The 22,530-nt window shown below is 46.1% G+C and overlaps 1 protein-coding gene across 1 annotated transcript in view, besides 10 other annotated features; it reads left to right on the top strand.

The window, feature by feature from the left end:
- NID1 (nidogen 1) overlaps positions 1–22,530 on the top strand; it is an 89,261-nt gene that overhangs the window by 49,151 nt on the left and 17,580 nt on the right. The window contains exons 11-13 of the mRNA NM_002508.3: positions 2,380–2,529; positions 3,897–4,019; positions 22,068–22,295. Coding sequence (NP_002499.2) covers positions 2,380–2,529; positions 3,897–4,019; positions 22,068–22,295 — 501 coding nt within the window. The remainder of the gene's footprint in view (positions 1–2,379; positions 2,530–3,896; positions 4,020–22,067; positions 22,296–22,530) is intronic.
- Positions 13,780–14,488: an enhancer, noted in NCBI's record as "H3K27ac-H3K4me1 hESC enhancer chr1:236164752-236165460 (GRCh37/hg19 assembly coordinates)". NCBI's record gives its function as "activates a minimal SCP1, AML or CMV promoter by ChIP-STARR-seq in primed H9 embryonic stem cells {active_cell/tissue: H9 hESC(primed)}" and the evidence as "EXISTENCE:reporter gene assay evidence [ECO:0000049][PMID:30033119]".
- Positions 14,622–18,050: a meiotic recombination region, noted in NCBI's record as "crossovers mapped in sperm cells of males of European ancestry". NCBI's record gives the evidence for it as "EXISTENCE:DNA detection assay evidence [ECO:0005519][PMID:16543360, PMID:15880103]".
- Positions 14,622–21,807: a biological region, named in NCBI's record as "meiotic recombination hotspot NID2".
- Position 14,955: a sequence feature, noted in NCBI's record as "sequence feature; approximate center of NID2b meiotic recombination hotspot". NCBI's record gives the evidence for it as "EXISTENCE:DNA detection assay evidence [ECO:0005519][PMID:16543360]".
- Positions 15,054–21,807: a meiotic recombination region, noted in NCBI's record as "this region was identified as a recombination hotspot within the HapMap YRI population". NCBI's record gives the evidence for it as "EXISTENCE:nucleotide sequencing assay evidence [ECO:0000219][PMID:20981099]".
- Positions 15,515–16,714: an enhancer, noted in NCBI's record as "P300/CBP strongly-dependent group 1 enhancer chr1:236162526-236163725 (GRCh37/hg19 assembly coordinates)". NCBI's record gives its function as "activates an origin of replication core promoter dependent on BRD2, BRD4, P300/CBP, MED14 and CDK7 cofactors, with strong dependence on P300/CBP, by STARR-seq in HCT116 cells {active_cell/tissue: HCT116}" and the evidence as "EXISTENCE:reporter gene assay evidence [ECO:0000049][PMID:35650434]".
- Position 16,329: a sequence feature, noted in NCBI's record as "sequence feature; approximate center of NID2a meiotic recombination hotspot". NCBI's record gives the evidence for it as "EXISTENCE:DNA detection assay evidence [ECO:0005519][PMID:16543360]".
- Positions 16,454–16,523: an enhancer, noted in NCBI's record as "active region_2811". NCBI's record gives its function as "activates an Ori minimal core promoter by ATAC-STARR-seq in GM12878 lymphoblastoid cells {active_cell/tissue: GM12878}" and the evidence as "EXISTENCE:reporter gene assay evidence [ECO:0000049][PMID:35858748]".
- Positions 16,457–19,098: a meiotic recombination region, noted in NCBI's record as "this region was identified as a recombination hotspot within the HapMap CEU population". NCBI's record gives the evidence for it as "EXISTENCE:nucleotide sequencing assay evidence [ECO:0000219][PMID:20981099]".
- Positions 16,564–16,613: an enhancer, noted in NCBI's record as "active region_2810". NCBI's record gives its function as "activates an Ori minimal core promoter by ATAC-STARR-seq in GM12878 lymphoblastoid cells {active_cell/tissue: GM12878}" and the evidence as "EXISTENCE:reporter gene assay evidence [ECO:0000049][PMID:35858748]".

Genomic DNA, 22,530 nt, shown 5'->3' with positions numbered 1-22,530 from the left:
TCTGGATCCAGTCATTCCTGATGTCCACACTCACTGAAGGGGCAGGCTGGGATGCAAGACAGGTGCTGGGCAAATGTCTGCTTCAGACATTTACTTTTGAGGAAGACAACCTCTCTGGGGCTCAGTTCCTCGTCTGTAAAATGAAGTGATTAGACCGGATCATTGGTTTCCTGTGACCCATGGAGCTCTTGGAGGTGCCTCAGGAGCTGTCAAGGAGGACACAGGCCAGCTGTGGGCAGGCTCTTGTCCTCTCCCCTGAGCTCTAGCCTCCCTTTTTTTTTTTTTTTTTTTTGAGACAGGGTTTTGCTATTGTCACCCAGGCTGGAGTGCAATGGCGCGATCTTGGCTCACTGCAACCTCTGCCTCCTGGGTTCAAGAGATTCTCCTGCCTCAGTCTCCCAAGTAGCTGGAATTACAGGCATGCACCACCACTCCCAGCTAAGTTTTGTATTTTTAGTAGAGACGGGGTTTCACCATGTTGGCCAGGCTGGTCTTGAACTCCTGGCCTCAGGTGATTTGCCTGCCTTGGCCTCCCAAAATGCTGGGATTACAGGTGTAAGCCACCACGCCCGGCCTACATATTTGAGGGAGAACATCTTCACCCCTTTTAATTGGCTCCTTTGAGACTCACTGCGCAGAGAGAAGGCTCACTGTAGAACCAAGTCTGCCTACACGCATTCAAAGAAATAACTCTGGCTTGTCACTGAGTAATTGAGTGGTCATTCCATCTCTCTTGGAATTCCTTGTTGAAACAGTGTTCTAGGTCGGAAGCCTGCACTGGGAAGGTTACCCTGCAGGTCAGAATGGGGCAAGGTGAAGAAATAAATGGGGCAAGGTGTGCTCTGCCAACTGTGAGGGGCTGGGGGCTCAGGCAGGGCCTGTGGACTGACCAGGAGGAATTCTCTTTTCATGAGGATTGGTATCCATTATCGGGGAAGGGATGTTTGTGGACTTCCATCTTTGGCATTTTCTGTAAACTCATAACTCTCTTTTCCACTGGGAACCAACTTTTGCAGTTAATTGAAATGTGCAAAACATGTTTTTGTGAAGGAAAGGTGGGCCTCAGCTTGCCCATAAGTCAGCTTGATGTGAAGATGTAGATACCCCTCTGAATGGACATAGCCCTGTGACACTGGGCTGGCATATGGAGTGTGGTGAACTTGAGGTCCTACTTCTCCTCCCCTAGGCATCTTGGTGCAGGGCATGATGGCATGCATCAGCTCTTCTCTTGAGGGAAGAACAGGGCCCAGGCTTAGGCAAAAAGCTGTAGCAGTTAACTTCCAGTATGCCAAGCACAGAGAGGCCAGTAGATGGGACTGTGATTCTCTTAAGGGTCCTGATGATAGAACTCATGGAAGGAGGGCTGAGGAGGAGGTGAGTGTCACAGAGGCTAGCTGATAATGCCCCATCTTGTGCTGTTGCCTCAAGATGGAAGGCAAAGGTTGAGGTCTACAGGGTGATTTTCAGCTGGTTCAGTTACTCTGGGGTTCCTAAGGCACCATTGCATTTTGCTTCTGATTTTCTAAAAGAACTCAGAGCCAGGACAGAGTCCCATCCTCACAATGTCAGAACACAAATCATTCCCTCCCATCAGGCTTTGTGTAGTTGGATTATCCCAGATGAAGGAGGACTCATGTTTTTCCTCCATGAGTCTTCTTAAGATTGATTTCAGTTTGTCCTACCTTAAGTGCAGACAGACAGAGAAAGAGAGAGAGAGAGTTGAGGGGGTGGGGGGAAGAACATAAGGCAATTTATCTAAGGCCATGTGGTTGACCCATGGTACCTGGTATATACCAAGGCTGCCTACTCCAAAGGCTCACAGTCTTCCAACCATAGCTGTCTCCCTGCCTTAGAAACATTTATTTGTCCTTCCTTGGTGGCAAGTGGGTGACTGACTTGGGCATTTGTAGTGAATGTTCCACCTGTACAGGGTGGGCCAAGGCTGAAGACACCACATGGAAGTCTCAGCTCCTTTCCTCCAAGCAGTCTCAACAGAGTTGCCATCAGAAGTGTGGCATCTGCAGATGTCCCACCCCCATATCCAGATGAAGGGAAAGTTGGGTCCTGGGGACCTGTGATGGGGATCTAGTTTGGAGAGTGGCCTGAGACAGACCCCCAGAGTGAAACTGAGGTCAAGCCAGGTGGAATGACAAACCACGGTGTCAGTCAGCCAAGACCCATCAGAGGCAGAACCCAGGTGGGAGGAAACGGTGAAAGCAGTAGTACCAGCCCAGTGAGGAGTGGGGTGCAGGTGAAGCTGTGGACATGCCTAGAGGTCTAGGGTCCAGGCATGGTCTCTCTTTATAGAGCTGGGAGGGGCATGTGGCCTGCTCAGGGGACTTTCTTCCTAAGACTGTGCATCAACCTTTTGTTCTGAAGCTGTCGTGGACCAGCGCCCCATCAACTACTGTGAAACTGGCCTTCATAACTGCGACATACCCCAGCGGGCCCAGTGTATCTACACAGGAGGCTCCTCCTACACCTGTTCCTGCTTGCCAGGCTTTTCTGGGGATGGCCAAGCCTGCCAAGGTGTGTGGTTGCTCTGATCTTCCCCTGTGTGTAACCTGAGAAAGTTTCCTAGGTGGTACCTGTCATGTGCCAATCACCAACTCACTCCCAAATAGAAGAAAGAATTCTTCTGTCATCTCCACAGAGTAAATGTGTTGCTTTTTATATCTCTCTAGTAGTTTGAACTATGCATTTTCTTTTGGGGGCTATTCTCATTGATGACTGTTTTGTTCTAGGTGACTAGTTCATTCAGGTGACAATTAGACACCTGCTCTCTGCTAGGAACCAGGGATATTTTCTGTCTTTCACAAAGAGACAAACTGTCCTTTTACATGGAGGACATGCATGGAGATTAAAGTCTATCCTTTTATTTAATAAGATGTATTAACATGTAGCCATTCAACTGGCTTGTTCTAACCTTCTCCTTCAAAAAAGCAAAGTTCTCTGATTGAATAAATGACTGCGGAGTCAAAGTATAAATGACTCAATAGAATCCTTCAGACTTGAGCTTCTTGGCTGCCATTGTTCTCTTACAGGTAATTTTAGGTAAGATAGCCCATCAATAGAGTACCCTGAGTTTCTTGGTTTGCACAATTACTTAATATTATACCATAGAGTATTTCTAAAAAGTCCCAACTAAGATAGAATTTCTGAGATACTTTCTCTTTATTACTGAACATGTGAATATTTTCTTTTCACTGAGGGTTTTCTGCCTAGCAGTTAATAATCTGTCAGTAAACACTCAGACAGTTTTGAAGCTCTCATTTATGACAGGAGGGAGAATTTTATAATACAAATAGATCCTATCTTTTCCCCTGTTGTAAGGTTGATGAAAACATTCTTTTCTTTCTTTTTTTTTTTTTTTTTTTTTTTGAGATGGCATTTAGCTCTTGTTGCCCAAGCTGGAGTGCAATGGCACGATCTTGGCTCACTGCAACCTCCACCTCCCGGGTTCAAGCAATTCTCCTGCCTCAGCCTCCAGAATAGCTGGGATTACAGGCACGTGTCACCATGCCCAGCTAATTTTTTATATTTTTAGTAGAAACAGGGTTTCACCGTGTTGGCCAGGCTGGTCTTGAACTCCTGACCTCAGGTGATCTGCCTGCCTCGGCCTCCCAAGGTGCTAGGATTACAGGCGTGAGCCACGGTGCCTGGCCAAAAACATTTTTCATGAAAACATTGCTGCCAAAGTGAAACACATTTGCAAGTACGACAGATAGATATTGGGGAGTTAGTGACTTGATAGTTAATGTTTAGTGAGTTTTGGATTACTGTTCCCAGATCAGAAGCAGGTTCCCATAGATTTGAGTAAGTGGCTTAAATTATTGGGTAAACTACGAATTCCAGAAGAAATCTCATTGTCCCTGGGCCTGGTGGCTGTTTTACAGATGTAGATGAATGCCAGCCAAGCCGATGTCACCCTGACGCCTTCTGCTACAACACTCCAGGCTCTTTCACGTGCCAGTGCAAACCTGGTTATCAGGGAGACGGCTTCCGTTGCGTGCCCGGAGGTAAGGTGGTGGGACATCTGGAGTCGGTAGCCCATTGCCCTGTCCATGAATGCAGAGCACATGGCCCATTGCCCTGTCCATGAATCCAGAGCACATGGCCCGTTGCCCTGTCCATGAATCCAGAGCACATGGCCCGTTGCCCTGTCCATGAATCCAGAGCACATGGCCCATTGCCTGCCCTGTCCATGAATCCAGAGCACATGGCCCTGGGAGAGAAGGTGAGGCGGGAAAGTAGGAGGCTCCATGGAGAGTTCTAAGGGTTGTTGAGGTGGGAGATCAGAGCATGGACTGCAATGTAGAGCATTCTTTGAAATGGTAGAACATCAGGTGGGAACATTGCCTATAATCCCAATACTTTAGGAGGCCGAGGTGGGTGGATCACTTGAGGTCAGGAGTTCGAGATCAGCCTGGCCAACATGGCAAAACCCCCTCTCTACTAAAAATACAAAAATTAGTCAGGCGTAGTGGCTTGTGCCTGTAATCCCAGCTACTACGGAGGCTGAGGCATGAGAATCACTTGAACCTGGGAGGCAGAGGTTGCAGTGAGCTGCAATTGAGCCACTGTAGTCCATCCTGGGTGACAGAGTGGGACTGCCTCAAAAAAAAAAAAAAAAGAAAAAAAAAGAATATATTTGACACCTTAGACTGGAGTTAACCAGTTGTGTTATTTATTTTTAATTACTGCTGCTGTTGTTGGTCAGATATATTCATGCCACTATAAATGTTTTCAATTAGAGATAAGTAAACATTTTCATCCCATCGCTTTTTAAGCAGTTAAAAACTTTAAATAACCATCCCCTTCACTAGCCTGTGAGCACATTGAGGACCTGTGAGCTCATTGAGGACCTGTGAGCTCATTGAGGGTGGTGCAGGTACACTTTTTTTTTTGTATGTTTCCAGTACCCAGTGGAGTGTTTGGTATATGGTGGGGCTCACAGCTATTTACAGCTGTTGAAGAAATAAATGAATGCATCAGCTCCATTCCTACAACAGCATTTGAAAATATTTGTTTATCTTCACTCTCACTAAGACTAGTTTTTAGAGTAGTTGTCTATCAAAAAAGAGAAAATATCAGATTAAGATTTAAATTTTGATGTATAGTAGCATATATCGTTAGTCTAAATTATTTTCTTCTGCTTAAAATGGGGCTTAGCAAACTATGGCCCATGGGCCAAATCTGGCTGTCTGTTTTTGTAAATAAAGTTTTATTGGAACACAGCCATGCTTATGTATAGTCTATGGCTGCTTTCGTGTTACAAAGGCCGAGTTCAGTAGTTGTGACAGAGACTGTAAGCTCTGCACAGCCTAAAAAGCATAAATAGGCTGGGTGCCATGGCTCTCGCCTGTAATCCTAGCATTTTGGGAGATCGAGGTGGACAGATTACTTGAGTCCAGGAGTTTGAGAGACCGGCCTGGGCAACATAGCGAGACCCTGTTTCTACAAAAAATAGAAAAATTAGCTGGGTGTGGTGTGGCACACCTGTAGTCCTAGCTCCTCGGGGGGCTGAGGTAGGAAGATTGAGCCAGGGAGATCAAGGCTGCAGTGAGCCAAGATCACTCTACACCCCATCCTGGGTGACAGAGTGAGATTCTGTCTCAAAAAAAAAAAAAAAAAAAAAAGTATAAATAGCCTACTATGTGGGCTCTTGACAGAAAAAGTTGCTGACTCCTGGCTTCGATAAACCTAGGCAAGGCAACCTTTTGTTCCTGAAATTATGGGAACAAATACCACTACTCATAGATTTTAATAGGCAGGTTACATAGAGAAGAGTTTATGATCATTTGAGTCAACACATTCCAGCTACTATTAACAATGACTAATATTCATTATTTCCTCAGTCTTGCTTCACATCTCCAGTTTAAAGAGAAGCAGATGTTTCCAATTTTGTTTTTTTGTTTTTTTAACCTGACTTTTTGTCCCCTCTTGAAAACTCTGTTGACTAAACAGAAACAGATCCAGGCGTGTAGGCTGGAATCTAAAGATGGGACAAAGTTAAAACCAATAAGGGCTGCTTGCCAGGATTGTTTAGATATTGGATCTTGTTCCCTTAAGAAGTTTAACATTTGGTTATATACTGGAGAGAGTGTTCACTAGAAACGTGTAAGAATGTTCATTGAGTTTTGTTTGTAATAGAAAAAAATATAAATGACTGCAAACAAGAGGAACAAACAGATGACTGTTGGTATAATCCATACAATGAAATGACATAAAACAGTTAAAATGAATGAACTAGAGTTCAGGGGTAAGTCTCAAAAGCGTAATGTTGAGCAAAAGAAATTATAAAAGGATATGTATAGCATGGCCCCATGTGTATAAAACATAAGCCTATGTGAAAATATACCTACATGTGTTATGTTATGTACATACATAAGAAAGCTACAACATGCATAGTGAATGAGAAATGAAAAGTTCAGGGCAGAGGTTACCTCTATAATGGGAGAGAGGGAATTGGGACTGGGGAGGGTTACATGGTGTGTCTTAGTCTGTTTGGGGCTGCTCTGGCAAAATACCATAGACTGGGAGTTTATAAACAACAGAAACTTGTTTCTCATAGTTCTGAAGGCTGGAAAGTCTGAGATCGACGTGCTGAGAAGTTGAGTGTCTGGCGAAGGCTCACTTCCTAGTTCACAGACGGCCAGACATCTTTCTGCAAAGTCCTTATATGGTAGAAAGGGCAAGAGGTCTCTTTGGGGACGCTATTATAAGGGCACCACTAAGGCCATTCATTAGGGCCCCCCTTTCATGACCTAGTCACCTGCTGGTGGCCTCACCCCCAATGCCATCACCTTGGGAGTTAGGATTTCAGTACGTGGATTTGGGAGGGACATAAACATTCACATTGCAGCACAAGAGCTGCGTCTGCGTTTCTAATGTTTTATTTCTCAGTCGGAATATGAATACACATATTTTCATCATATTATTCTAAATTGTATATGACTAAAATACTTTATGAAGACTGGACACAGTGGCTCATGCCTGTAATCCCAGCATTTTGGGAGGCCAAGGTGGGTGGATCACCTGAGGTGGGGAGTTCAAGACCAGCCTGACCAACACGGAGAAACCCCGTCTCTACTAAAAATACAAAATTAGCCAGGTGTGGTGGTGCATGAATGTAATCCCAGCTACTTGGGAGCCTGAAGCAGGAGAATCACTTGAACCTGGGGGGCAGAGGTTGCGGTGATCCGAGATCACGCCGTTGCATTCCAGCCTGGGCAACAAGAGCAAAATCCCGTCTCAAAAAAAAAAAAAAAATTAGCTGGGCGTGGTGGTGCATGCCTGTAATCCCAGTTACTCAGGAGGTTGAGGCAGGAGAATAGCTTGAGCCCAGGAGGCGGAGGTCACAGTAAGCCAAGATTGCACCACTGCACTCCAGCCTGGGTGACAGAGAAAGACTCCATCTCTAAATAATAAATAAATAAATAAATACTTTATGAAACATTACACAGAGAAAAATAATGCATAGTGTCATCTGGTCTCCTGGTGCCTATCATAGTAAAGGACAGGGATCATACAGCACTTATTTGGTACTTACTGTATACAGAAGGGGCTAGTTTCCAAAAGAAAACTAAACTGGCTTTGAAGGTGAGCCAGTGAAGATCATGGCTACTGAAATGTCAACTGATGACAGACAAACTACGAGAAATTGCGATTTGTTCCTCTTTGTCTTCTGCACGCTGCTCCACACCCTGTGTATGGATTGTGAAGTTAGTTTAGTGGCTTGCTGTTCTCACTTTCTTTTAAATGGCATGTTGAAATAGCAAACAATAATCTAGAAAATATCAGAGTGAGGAGAATATATGTAGTAGGAGTAAGTATTGTTTCATGAAGCAATACTTGTATGTATGTTTGTGTATGTGCATGGGTGAGTGCATGCCAGCATGTGTGCGTGTGTGTGTGCACATGTGTATGCGTGTCTAAGTGTGCATGGGCTGGTGTACTGGGATGCTGAGTAAAATCTGTTTCTTTCTATGGGTCATGGTTAGAAGTTAGAAAGCCACCATATTAGTTCTCTATTGTTGCATAACAAATCATCCCCAAAGTTAGCCACTTAAAACAATGAACATTTATTTTCTCACAGTTTCTGTGCGTCAGGAGTTCAGGAGCAGCTTTCCTGGGTGGTCCCTGGACCCAGGGACTCTCATGAGGTTGCTGCTGAGACATTAGTCGGGGCTGTGGTCTTCTGTGATGGCAAAGAAGGATCCCTGCTGAAGGACCCGCATGGTTGTCAGCAGGCCTCAGTTCCTCGCGACATGGGTCTCTCTACAGGGATGGCTAAGTGTCTTCAAGATCTAGCAGCTGGCCCCCTCCACAGCAAGTCAAAGGAGAGAGAGAGAGAGAGAAAGAGAGACTGACCAAGATGGAAGCCACAGTCTTTTATAAACGAATCTTGGAAGTGACAAGTATCGCTTCTGTTGATACCATCAGTCTCGGGCCATCCCTCTTGCAGTGTGACAGGGGTCTGCCCAAGTATGGAAGACCAGGCAGTGGGGAGAATGAGGGCCATCTTGGAGGTCGGCCACCATAGCCACTGACCCTGACCTTGCCTGGACAACATCTGAGGGAATGTAACTGGCTAGGTTTTTGTAACATAGGGGAGTTTATTAGAGGATCAAAGAGAGGCATTAAATGTCTTGGGCTAGAAATGTAAAACCTGGTCCAGGAGTTTAAGAACACCCTGGACAACATAGCAAGACCCCATCTCTATCAAAAAATTTAAAACTTCTAGGCATGGCATTTAAAAATTAGCACACACCTGTAGTTCCAGCTATTCACAAGGCCGAGGCAAGAGCATCACTTGAGCCTGGGAGTTCAAGGCTGCAGTGAGCTATGATCGTGCCCCTGCACTCTAGCCTGGGGTGACAGAGCTAGACCCTTTCTCCAAAAAAATTTAAAAATAATAAACAAAATGAAGCTTTCCCTCAACCCTGCATCCCTCTCTCACTGCCATCCCCTCCCCATCCTTCCCTTTATAGTTTAACTCTTCATCAAGGTTGTCTGGAATTGCTGCCTCCACTTCCTCCTCTCTCATCTTCCATTTTTTTTCCTATCTTTATATTGTAAAAATAAAACATAGATGCAAGCAATATGTAGTTCAAGGAGTTACTCTAAGGTGAGCCTGGTTGTCACTACCACTCAGATCTTGAAGTAGAGCTTTACCAGCAGCCCCAGGAGCCCCACCTGCCCCAATCATAGCCTCCTCTCTCTCCTCAAAAGCAACCACTAACCTGGCATCTGTAGTTGTCTCTTCCTTGCATTTCTAATAGCTTTATCACACTTGAGTGCATTCCTAGTCATTGTAGGTTTGGTGCTGCTCATTTTTCTATCTATAGTTTTCTTCTCCATCCCTTTCCTTTCCTTGCATTTGGTCTGTTGAAGAACCCATGCCTTTAGATCTGTAGTTTCCCACAGTCTGGATCTTGCTGATTGCACACTCATTGTACAGCACTACACACTCCTTTGTCCTCTAAATTGTCTGCAGATTGTCAGATGCTTGATCAGACTTAGGTTCAATCCTTTTGGCAAGACAATAGGTGGTGGTGTGATCTTTCATCGGGAGTGTATGTCTGCTTGTCTCACTTTTTGTGATGTTAGGAGCTATTGATGATTACTGCCTAGACCCATTAATTTCTAGGGAGGGTCAAATGGTGATATTCTAATTTCATCATTACTTTCTCATTTATTCATTGGAATTCATGCTCATTATTACCTGGGTCCACTCATTTCTAATGGGGGGGAGCAAAATGGTGATAGTCTAATTCTATTCACTGCAATGAAATAACAGCTAAAACTGTATTTGTAATTTGGAAGTAGAGAGGTAGCTTTATTCGGTATATGGGTGGAGAAGCAGAGGACAGTCAGTCTCCCAAGAGAAAAATAAAGCAAGTGAGTGACAAGGAGACAGGAGCTCTTAGTTCCTGACAGTTGTCTATTTCTGGTTCCAGTCCCTTTTCTGATTCACATGACATAACTATATTTTCATAATAAATTCTTCCTTTGGGTTTAGGTTAAGTCAGAGTGGTTCCTGTTACTTTAGTTAAAGAACTTTGACAGTGAGGGCACTGTGCACATTTATGATGATATTATTACTATTAGAAAGTGCAGGCTGGATAATTAGCTACTATGCTCTGTACAGAAGTTAGTTGATGTTTATGGATTTTTGTTCATTTTAAAATTCAGATAAGCTATGTTTTTGACCACTTTTCCTTTCTGATGTGTCTTCATTAAAGAATGCCTCCCTAAAATAATATGAATAGATATCTACTACATCAAACAGTAGTTTAAAGAAGTGAAATTTTTATCTAGTGGAAGGGGTAATACTAAAGTAATAATAGCTAACACTTATATAGCACATAATTTTTGCCCAGTATTGTTTTAAAAATAGCAAAATGTAAGGTAAATTAGAAGAAATCTTTTTAGTAAAAGAAATTTTCTGTCAAAGTGTATGGCATATGAATCATTTTGCAATCAGAAAAAACAGACAGTTGGTTCAAATATCTTGAGAGTTGTGTCTTACAAAATTACGATCGTGTGTTATTTATGCTTTCCAAAAGCAGTTGTTTAGGTTCTTGTGTTTAGACTGCCAGTAAATATGCTTTCAGCAGAACAAAACACTCTTGCATCTTCAAAAATAAAAAAAAAAAGCATTGCAATTTGCTTTTGAGATTTCCTGGCTCTCTCCCCACCCCCCGCCTATATCTGGGCCTTCTCTTACCTGGTCTCTGCTTACATTTTTTTGTTTGTTTGCTTTTGTTTTCTTGAGATGGTGTTACCCAGGCTGGAGTGCAGTGGTATGATCTCAGCTCACTGCAACCTCCACCACCCAGGTTCAAACAATTCTCCTGCCTCAGCCTCCCGAGTAGCTGTGACTCAGGCGCACGCCACCATTCCCAGCTAATTTTGTATTTTTAGTAGAGATGGGGTTTCACCGTGTTGGCCAGGCTGGTCTCGAACTCCCAACCTCACTGATTTGCCCACCTCAGCCTCCCAAAGTGTTGGGATTACAGGCGTGAGCCACCGTGCCGGGCTCCATCCTGCTTAAGTTTGATCCCACTCTCAGCACTGTCTTCCCAGTGTGATGCCCTGACAGCCCGGTCAATTTCCTAGGGTCTAGCTCTTCTAGCCCCTTTAGTTTTTAACTTTTTTTTTTTTTTTTTTTTTGAGACAGAGTCTCGCTCTGTTGCCCAGGCTGGAGTGCAGTGGCATGATCTCGGCTCACTGCAAGCTCCGCCTCCCGGGTTCACACCATTCTCCTGCCTTAGCCTCCCGAGTAGCTGGGACTACAGGCGCCCGCCACCACGCCTGGCTAATTTTTTGTATTTTTAGTAGAGACAGGGTTTCACCGTGTTAGCCAGGATGGTCTCTATCTCCTGACCTCCTGATCCACTCGCCTTGGCTTCCCAAAGTGCTGGAATTATAGGCATGAGCCACCGCGCCTGGCTTAGTCTTTAACTTAAAGGAAGAAAAACCCTCCCAGTTTTGCTGCTGTTTTTACATTGGCCTGCAGTGCCTTCTAGAGTGCCTGTTAGCGCTGGGGCTTTCCTGTTCCCACACTGTGAGATGCTCTGCCCCTTTCCTCTGCTGTCTGCCACACAAAGATGACAAGTTGGTGGTGTGTCCCTTCACCCTTCCTTATCACCGTGTTGCTTTGTAAATGCTACCCATGGGCTATGGATTTTGTTACCTAGTTAATCCATCTGGAACTGGACTCTAAAAAGTAAGCTCCTGCATTCTTCCAGAGTCTCTCATTCTCTCTCTAACCACTGCAGTCAGCTTCTTTCCCCACCACAACACCCAAACTGCTCTCGTAAAAGTCAGCAACAACCCTCCCTTTGTTAGATCTGAGGCCTCATTTCTTTTTCTTTTCTTCTTGTTTTTTTTTTTTTTTTTGAGACAGAGTCTCACTCTGTCATTCAGGCTGGAGTGCAGTGGCGCAATCTCTGCTCACTGCAACATCTGCCTCCAGGGTTCAAGCGATTCTTGTGCCTTGGTCTCCTGAGTAGCTGGGATTACAGGTGTGTGCCACCACGCTTGGCTATTGTTGTTGTTGTTTGGGACAGGATCTCACTCTGTTGCCCAGGCTGGAGTGCAGTGGCTGCATCTCAGCTCACTGCAGCCTCCACCTCCCGGGTTCAAGCAATCCTCCCACCTCAGCCTCCTGAGTAGCTGGGATTACAGGTGCTTGCCATCAAGCCAGGCTAATTTTTGTATTTTTAGTAGAGACGGGGTTTCACCATATTTGCCAGGCTTGTCTCGAAATCCTGGCCTCAAGTGATCTGCCCACCTCTGCCTCCCAAAGTTCTGGGATTACAGGTGTGAGCCATCGTGCCTGGCCTGAGGCCTCATTTCTTGATAGCACTTGGCACAATTGGTCTCGCCCTCCTTCCTGAAACACTTTCTTCATTTGGTATCCAGGACAACACACCTCAGGGTTTTCTGCATTTCTGGCTGGTGCACGTCACTGCTGGTACGATTAGCCCCATTGAATGCATGAAGATATGGGGGTTAGAGAGACTAGATAATTTGTCCAAGGCATCCAACTAACTAGTAGCATAGCCAGGACCAATAGTTAAATATTTCTTAAGCATCTCTTGTGTGCCTGTCACTGTGCTTGACACATGAACAGTAAAACGTCTCCACCCTGGAGGAGTCTGCACTGTAACTGGGCAGGAAAAGGGAATACTTGAAATTAGTAGTGAATAACTACCGGTCGTTCACTAGGAGTGACAACTACCAGTCGTTCACTAGGAGTGACAACTACCAGTCGTTCACTAGGAGTGACAACTACCAGTCGTTCACTAGGAGTGACAACTACCAGTCGTTCACTAGGAGTGACAACTACCACTCGTTCACTAGGAGTGATAACCAGTGATAACTAGCAGCAGGAAGCAGAGATGCAGGTGGGCTAAAAAAGCTGGGGAGAGTGAGAGAGGGAGGATTTGCACTCAGCCTTGAAGGACAGGTGAGATTTGAATAGGAGACAGGGAGGAATAATGAGGAGGAGGGGCAGTCAGGCAAATGGGGGAGTTGATGTTGAGGAGGGTCCAAACCAGGCCACCCAAAGGCTTGACAAGCTCCCGGTCTTGATGTCTGTGGCCACGTCTGACCGCCACCTCCTTCCCTTGTGACTCTCACATGGCCTCGTTTCCAAATCCGCGGAGTGATCGCTGAGCCTGTGGTTCCTCCATCCCTTCTTTTTCTTGAAGTCCTCTCTAACCTAACCCCAGGAAGCACAAAGGCAACCGTCCTCACCAATGCTTGGAATTTCTTGACTTCCTATCCGTCTGCACTCTCAGCCTGCAAAGCTCTTGTCTTAAGTCCGTTCAGCCACTGCGCCTAGGCTGCTGTGGCTGGGTGTATTGGACACACCGCAGATTTATCGTCATTTTTTGTTTGTTTGTTTGTTTGTTTGTTTGTTTTTAGACAGAGTCTCGCTCTGTTGCTCAGACTGGAGTGCAGTGGTGCCATCTCGGCTCACTGCAACCTCCGCCTCCCGGGTTCAAGCGATTCTCCTGCCTCAATCTCCCGAGTAGCTGGGATTACAGGCATGTGCCACTGCGCCTGGCTAATTTTTGTGTTTTTAGTAGATACGGGGTTTCACCATGTTAGCCAGGCTGGTCTCAAACTCCTTGCCTCAGGTGATCTGCCTGCCTCATCTTTCCAGAGTGCTGGGATTACAGGCGTGAGCCACCGCGCCCAGCCTGATTTATTGTCTTTAATGTCAGCCAAGCCCTTGACCAAGGCAGGTGTGGTGCTCTTCCTCTCTGTCCCATAGCAGCCTGTCCAGACCACAGCCAGCCGCTTCTCCCACTGTGCCACTGACCAGGGCCCTCATCTTTTGCACTAGCCTGTACAATCAAGGACTCTCCTATTTAGCCCTTGCAGGGCGCCTGGCTGATGGCAGCTTTCACTAAATGCTTATAACACTAGTGAGTAAGTGCTTCACGTGTCCATGGGGCTCTTGACCTGAAGCGTATGATGACTACAGTGATTTTAAAAGCCCTGCTGTGGTAGAATTTTGGGAGAGGAAGGCAGCTGGGAGCCAAGAGCTGCTCCAGGAAACAGGTGTGATGAAACTCAACAATGCAGTTTCACACTGTGACAGAAGAGACTGCACACAGAGGAGGAGTGCAAGCTCTCTTCCATGCTGGTTTACGACCTTTCTGTTTTCCCTTCTTTGTTTGCCTTTTCCTAACTGCGAGTTCAGTGCCCCTCCCTGGCCATTCGTCTTCCTCTCTAGCCCTGTGAGAATGGGGGTAAATGTTGGGAAGGGACATGAAGAGAGTTCATAAGTAAAGAAAGCTGTTATCACCGTTATTGCTGTTGCTATCACTATTATTAGTAGTGTTGTTCTTAGTGGCCCCTAGGAACATGAGGATGAAGACCATGTCAGATGGACATTGCCCCCTTGACTTGTAAATTCTCCTTCTTGGAAATTTGGCAGTCTTGCTTGGACTAACAAGTGTCTATTTGGCAGTGAATGAGATGGGGCTATAAGCCAGCAAAATCTCAAAGCCAGGCTGGGCGTGGTGGCTCAAGCCTGTAATCCCAGCACTTTGGGAGGCCGAGGCGGGTGAATCACGAGGTCAGGAGTTCGAGACCAGCCTGGCCAACATCATGAAACCCCGTCTCTACTAAAAATACAGAAAATTAGCTGGGCGCAGTGGCAGGCGCCTGTAATCCCAGCTACTTGGGAGACTGAGGCAGGAGAATCGCTTGAACCCGGGAGGCAGAGGTTGCGGTAAGCTGAGATTGCACCACTTCACTCCAGGCCGGGCGACAGTGATATTCTGTCTCCAAAAAAAAAAAAAAAAAATCTCAAAGCCAGCAGAGACCAGGGACTGTTCACTGCACCTGAGTGACCTTGTCCAGAGATGTGTGTCCCAGAGGTGCATGCTCAGAACCCGTGTAGGCCCTGGGAGTAGCTGCCTCTGTAGTGGGGCGTGGACTCTGTGCAGGAAGATGCTGAATAAATAGCACCTTCCCAAACAAGTTCCATTCTGAGTAGCCCATGGGTTCTCCCACGGTTGCATGTCGTCTCTTTCCAGAGAGTCTTGACATCTGTGAGCACCTCCCCTCTCTCCACTCTATTGAGTATATGAGAGGCTACAATTGTCATTTATTTGAATGAACACAGAGAAACCAATTTAATCAAGCAAGGGAATGGAATGCAAATCCAAGGTCAAGAATGTACTTTCTTCTTAGTTCTCCTTCTTGTAAACCAAAAAGTATCTGAGACAGGTCTCAATCAATTTAACAATTTATTTTGCCCAAGTTAAGGAGATGCCTGTGACACAGCCTCAGGAGGTCCTGATGTCGTATGCCCAAGGTGGTCAGGCTACAGCTTGGTTTTATAGATCTTAGGGAGACATAAGACATCAATCAATACAGGTAAGATGTATGTTGGTTTGGTCCAGAAAGGTGGGACAACTGGGAGCCAAGTGTAGGAGGGAGAGCTTCCAGGTCATAGGCAGATTCAAAGATTTTCTGATTGTCAATTGGTTGAGTTATTATCTAAAAACCTGGAACCAATAGAAAGGAATGTCTGGGTTATGATAAGGGCTTGTGGAGACCAAGGTTTAGTCATGCAGATGAAGCCTCCAGGTAGGCGGCTTCAGAGAGAACAGATTGTAGATGTTTCTTATCAGACTTAAAGAGTCTGTTCTGCCAGGTTTTGTTGTTGCTGTTGTTGTTGTTGTTGTTTTAATTGAGATAGAGTCTCGCTCTGTCACCCAGGCTGGAGTGCAGTGGCGCAATCTCAGCTCACTGCAACCTCCACTCCCTGGGTTCAAGAGATTCTCGTGCCTCAGCCTCCCAAATAGCTAGGATTACAGGCGCCCATCACCACGCCCAGCTAATTTTTGTATTTTTAGTAGAGATGGGGTCTCACCACATTGGCCAGGCTGGTCTCAAACTCCTGACCTCAAGTGATCCACCCGCCTCAGCCTCCCAAAGCGCTGGGATTACAGGCGAGAGCCACAGGGCCCGGCCTGTTCTTTCAGTCTTAAGGTCCATGTTGATGTTAATGGTAATGAGACGTGGCCAACCCTCCCCTTCCTCTCATGGCCTGAAGTAGTTTCATAGGTTGACTTTGGAATGCCCTCGGCTGAGAGGAGGGGTCCATTCCGATGGTAGGCGGACTTGGAATTTTATTTTTGGTTTACACTCTGTTTCATTTTCCTCTCATTCTCTTTGTCCCCCCACCTTGAGAAAAGTCACCCCAGACTTCCTGCCACTCCTCAGATAAGTATCAGGTCTTGAATGCTTTCTTCCCTAGCAGCTCGAACTAGATGAGTAAGAAGACGCTTGTCTGAGTCATCAATGTATCAACCAGAAACAAGCTCAGGAAATGCGTCTTTAGCATCCCCACTACCCCCACCCCATCCACCAGGCCTTTAATGGAAAGTTTCCCATGGGGGCCAGGGACACTCAGCAGGGGACTCTCCCTAGAGCCCCTGGGCTGCTCCCACTGTCTGCTGGCCCAGAAAGTCCACCGAGATCACAGCTTTTTATAAACTCACTTGAGATTCTATTTCCTGAGTACAGTTGAGGTTCCCCCTCCTTTTTACAAGTTCAAGATACAGTACTTCAAAGTTCCACTGTAAATTCTAGAGCCCTTGAGATTTTCTATGCTGACCAAATACTTTGTTAACACAACTCTGTCGGCCACATAAAATGGAACAACGCTTACTGCATGAAAAGTTTTGTTTGGTTGACAGCACACAGGACACCAGTTTTGTTTTCTAACTGGAAAAGCACCACCACATGCAGATGTGATTGGTAGGAAAATGGGGCTCTGGATGCACAGGTAATTTTGGTGAATGAGCTAAGGTACTGTGTGTACATCGCTGTTGTCGTAACAGGTTCAATGTGAGGGAGCCGTCTAAGCACTGGCAATGTGGACGCCAGATGCCAGACCAGAAGGGCGGGGCTAGACCACAAACCCAGAGACCTAGGTTCTCGTTAGAACTGAGCCACCAACCAGTGCTGTGGCCTGAAGGAGTCTCTGAGCCACCAACCAGTGCTGTGGCCTGAAGGAGTCTCAACTTCTCTGAGTTTCAGTTTTCTCATTTGGTGTAAAAACTGCAGTTGCTTATCACATAGGATTGCAATGAGAATCAAATGAAACATATCTGTGAATGGAAACAGCTTATATGAAAACTCTAAAACCCTATGCCAACGTAAAATTTTGTGGAAGTAAACACGTTTTACATTCAAGAGTGAACAAAACCAGATTTTTTTTTTTTGAGACAGAGTTTTGCTCTTGTCGTCCAGGCTGGAGTGCAATGTCACAATCTTGGCTCACTGCAACCTCTGCCTCCTGGGTTCAAATGATTCTCCAGCCTCAGCCTCCCGAGTAGCTGGGATTACAGGCACCCGCCACCACACCCAGCTAGTTTTTGTACTTTTAGTACAGACGGGGTTTCTCCATGTTGGCCAGGCTGGTCTCAAACTCCTGACCTCAGGTGATCCACCCACCTCGGCCTCCCAAAGTGCTGGGATTACAGGCGTGAACCAACGTGCCCAGCCAGACATTTTTTATTCTAACCAGATGGCTTGCTTGTATCTTTGTTTGGTGCTTCCTACTTCAAATGTTTTGTTTTGTTTTTTATATTAATTAGCCTCTGGGACAAAAGAAAAGCATGCATGGTTTTGTCTTGCTGGGTTCAACAAATACTTTTCTGGCATGCTAACTGCTTCTCACCAAGGGAGCAACCACGTTAAGCAAACCAACATGAGAACTGGCAACACAGACAAAGGTACTTCAAATATTCACTGGCAACACACTTATGGAATGTCACTGTGTCTGCTTTGCGAGGATCCAGTCGCAAATGAACATCTGGGTGCAGAGCTCGAAATGTCTCTGTGTGCCTTGTCTCGTCACCTCCCACTGACTCCTCAAACAGTCCTGTGAGATCTGTTATTACTGCCATCCCTGTTCCACTGCTGCAGGAGGCACAGCTTAATCTGTATCATTGACATGTACAAGGTGACACCAGAAGTAATGGAACTGAGGCCAGGCATGGTGGCTCATACCTGTAATCCCAGCACTTTGGGAGGCCGAGGTGGGTGGATCACCTGAGGTCAGGAGTTCGAGACCAGCCTGGCCAACATAGTGAAACCCCGTCTCTACCAAAAAAATTCAAAATTAGCCAGACATGGTGGTGGGCACCTGTAGTCTCAGCTACTCAGGAGGCTGAGACAGGAGAACTGCTTGAACCCAGGAGGCAGAGGTTGCAGTGAGCTGAGATCAGGCCACTTCACTCCAGCCTGTGCAAGACAGAGTGAGACTCTAATTTAAAAAAAAAAAAAAAAAAAAAGTAATGGAACTGAGAGTCAAAAACATTCCCAGGTGCAAAATTCTGAGAAATATATAATATTCTAGTCTATGTGATTACAGTATATTTTTTATTATTAATTAACATTTTAGTATATATTAATTAATGTACACATGTGTAAACATATATACAAATAAGTACATATTTCCCCTTAACATAACTGGTAATGCCTAGAGCAGGGGTTGGCAACTACAGTCCCCATAGGCCAAATCTGGCCCACTGTTTGTTTTTGTAAATGAAGTTTTATTGGGAAAGCCACACTCATTCATTGAGGTATGAAACATGGTTGCTTTCATGCTACAACCACAGAGTTGCGTAGTCGTAACAGAGACCTCATGGCCCACAAAGCCGAAAATATTTATTCTTCCTCTTAACAGGAGAAGTCAGTTGAGCCCTACCCTAGACCTATTCAACCACAATCTTCTACTCATCAAAAAAAAGCAGAGAGGAGGCCAGGCATGGTGGCTCATGCCTATAGTCCCAGCACTTTGGGAGGCTGAGGCGGGCGGATCACCTGAAGTCAGGAGTTCAAGACCAGCCTGACCAACATGGTGAAACCCCATTTCTACTAAAAATACAAAATTAGCCGGGCATGGTGGCAAGAATCTGTAATCCCGGCTACTCGGGAGGCTGAGGTAGGAGAATCGCTTGAACCCGGGAGGCAGAGTTTGCAGTGAGCCGAGATCGCGCCACTGCACTCCAGCCCAGGCAACAAGAGCAAAACTCCATCTCAGAAAAAAAAGCACAGGAGTCTGAGACAGGAAGATGACTCGAGTCCAGGAGCTGGAGGCCAGCCTGGGCAACATAGCAAGACCCTGCCACTTAAAAAAATACATGAAGTGGCCAGGCTTGGTGGCTCACACCTGTAATCCCAGTACTTTGGGAGGTCAAGATGGATGGATCACTTGAGCTCAGTAGTTCGAGACCAGTCTGGGCAACCTAGTGAGACACCACCTCTACTAAAAATGCAAAAAATTAGCCAAGTGTGGTGACGCATGCCTGTAGATCCACCTACTCAGGAGGCTGAGGTGGGAGGGTTGCTTGAGCTGGGAGGTTAAGGTTGCAGTGAACTGAGATTGCACCACTGCACTCCAGCCTGGGTGACAGAGTGAAATCCTGTCTTAAAAAAAAAATACATGGAGTGAAAATGGACAGAATTAAAAAGAGAAATACAAATTATATATTTTTTAAAAAAGCACCTAGGCATTCCTTGGCTCTCCATGCCTTGTGGACGGTCTCTTCTGTGTAGCTGCTATCTCCCTCTGTCAAGGCAGCCACTCACTGAATTGCAAAGTGTGTGTTCAGCTGTTGGCTTCCCTCCAGACTGTGAGCTCCCTGACAGCAGGTGCTATGGGTTATTCCTGTGTGCATCCCCCAGCACAGTCAAGTAGGTACTTCTTGGTTTTTTGGGTTTTCGTTTTGTTTTTTGGGGGACAGGGTCTTGCTCTGTCACCCAGGCTGGAGTGTAGTGGCCTGAACATGGCTCACTGCAGCCTCAAACTCCTGGGCTCTAGAGATCCTCCTGCCCCACCCTCCCAGGTAGCTGTGACCACAGGTGCATGCCACCACACCCAGCTAAGTTTTTATTTTTTATAGATATAGGTCTTGCTGTGTTGCCCAGTTCTTGAACTCCTGGACTCAAGTGATCCTCCCTCCTTGGTCTCCCAAAGTGCTGGAATTACAGGTGTGAGCCACTGTGCCTGGCCGAGTAGATGCTTCTTGACTAAATGTTAAGGAGATTTTTTCCAGAGAGATAAACAAGGAACAGCTCCTTAGAGTCAGTGAGATACAGGTATGGTGTGGGCAAGCCCAGATCACCCTGAGAGCTCACAGAGGGGATTGGACTCAGCCCTGGGGAGCTGAACAGACTTCCTGAAGGGAGTTAAGTGCCTAAGCTGATTTCTGAAGGATTAACCAGACAGGGAGAAGGACAGTCACAAAAAGAATAGCACGTGGAAAGGCCTGGGAGGGAGAGGCAACAAGACATGGATGAAGTATAGCTCTTAGCAGACAGTGATGTGGAGAATGGGTACCTCCTGCCAGTGTCTGGACATTGCTTTGTGTGGTCGATACTGCAGAGGCTACAACTCTGGACTGGTGACTGAACTCTAACCAGTGTGGAATCCACTACGGCTTGGAAGTTGTTTACTAGCAATTCCACAGCTTTAGAAGTACAGCTGTCCCTCAGTATCCACGGGGCATTGGTTCCTGAAGATACCAATCCACAGGTACTCAAGTCTCTGATATAAAATGGTGTAGTATTTGCATATAACCTATGCACACCCTCCCATGTACTTTAAATCATCTCTAGATCACTTATAATACCTAGTACAATGTGAACGCCATGTAAGAAGTTGTTGTATTGTTTAGGAAATGATGACAAAAAAGAAATCTGTTCATGTTCAGTACAAACACAACTATCCTTTTTATTTTTCCAAATATTTTCAATCTGTAGTTGGTTGAATCCACAAATGTGGAACCCGTGGATATGGAGTGTTCACTGTATTTCCCTGTCTTAAGATCTGAGTTGTACAGTTTAGAGGTCAATTTCCATGCCAAAAAGCAGGACATAAATAAAGGAAAACATACAAATGTTGGTAAACGCACTTGGTGGTATCTGGTGCCTGAAATCTTTGGCCTTGACTTGTCGGTTATCAAGAAGCTTGAGATGCTAGCGTGGCCAACATGGTGAAACCCCGTCTCTACTAAAAATATAAAAATCAGCCAGAGGTGGTGGTGCTTGCCTGTAATCCCAGCTATGCGGGAGCCTAGGGCAGGAGAATCGCTTGAACCTGGGAGGCATAGATTGCAGTGAGTCGAGATCATGCCACTGCACTCCAGCCTGGGCAACAGAGCGAGACTCCGTCTCAAAAAAAAAAAAAAGAAGAAGAAGAAGTTTGAGATGATAAAAATGACACATTTAGAAAAAACAAACAAAAAAATTTTCTTAAAATAAAACCCAGTGATGTTCATCAATGGATAAGCAAAATATGATCTGTCCCTACAATGCAATATTATTCAGCCATGAATATGAAGCAGGTTCTAATACATGCTACCACCTGGATAAAGCTTGACAACATTCTGCTAAGTGAAAGAATTGTTTACTTAAAAATGGTTCACTTGGCAGGGCGCAGTGGCTCATGCCTGTAATCCCAGCACTTTGGGAGGCTGAGGCAGGCGGATCACCTAAGGCCAGGTATTCGAGACCAGCCTGGCTGACATGGTGAAACCCTGTCTCTACTAAAAATACAAAATTACCTGGGCTTGGTGGCGGGTGCCTGTAATCCCAGCTACTCAGGAGGCTGAGGCAGGAGAATCACTTGAACCCGAGAGGCAGAGGTTGCAGTGAGCCGAGATCGTGCCACTGCACTCCAGCCTGGGCAACAGGAGCGAAACGCCATCGCAAAAAAGTAAAAAAAGGTTCACTGTATGTTCTATCAATTTGCTTCATTTCTTTTTGCCTCAATTTTTTAAAAGTGTTTTAAAAGGAACTACCTAGGAGTATAAAGGAGATGTAAATATCATTTTCTTGACAAACCTATTCAATAATAATGATGTTTCTGCATTTTGAATAACTGATGAAACAAAACCCAGTGACACACAGGCAGCCCTCGTGGTTCTGAGCGAGCTGCGGGGACTCCTGCAGCCCCGCCAGGGAGCGCTGACGGATGACGCACCTGACAGCTTTCTTGTTGCCTGTTTCTCTGATAGAGGTGGAGAAAACCCGGTGCCAGCACGAGCGAGAACACATTCTCGGGGCAGCGGGGGCGACAGACCCACAGCGACCCATTCCTCCGGGGCTGTTCGTTCCTGAGTGCGATGCGCACGGGCACTACGCGCCCACCCAGTGCCACGGCAGCACCGGCTACTGCTGGTGCGTGGATCGCGACGGCCGCGAGGTGGAGGGCACCAGGACCAGGCCCGGGATGACGCCCCCGTGTAAGTGGGTGCAGGCCGTGCTTGGGCGTGTGCCTGAGAAGGACCTCGGGGGACCGGAATTGCTGAACACGCTCTTTGCTCTTCTGCTGGACCTAAAGCTTGAACTGTTCCACTGGCTCCAGCCCCACCCGCTCCTGCTGCACCCTTCTTCCCTCTCACTTACCCCGCTCCTCCCCGTGCTTCCTCTCCTCCTCACCCTCTCTGTTCTCTTACCCTCTTCTTTCTCCTTCCCCAC

The sequence above is a fragment of the Homo sapiens genome, chromosome 1 (genome assembly GCF_000001405.40).
Source record: "Homo sapiens chromosome 1, GRCh38.p14 Primary Assembly".
Classification (NCBI taxonomy): domain Eukaryota; kingdom Metazoa; phylum Chordata; class Mammalia; order Primates; family Hominidae; genus Homo; species Homo sapiens.
The sequence above is the reverse complement of the archived record's forward strand: the minus strand, read 5'-3'. Positions and strand labels throughout refer to the sequence as shown.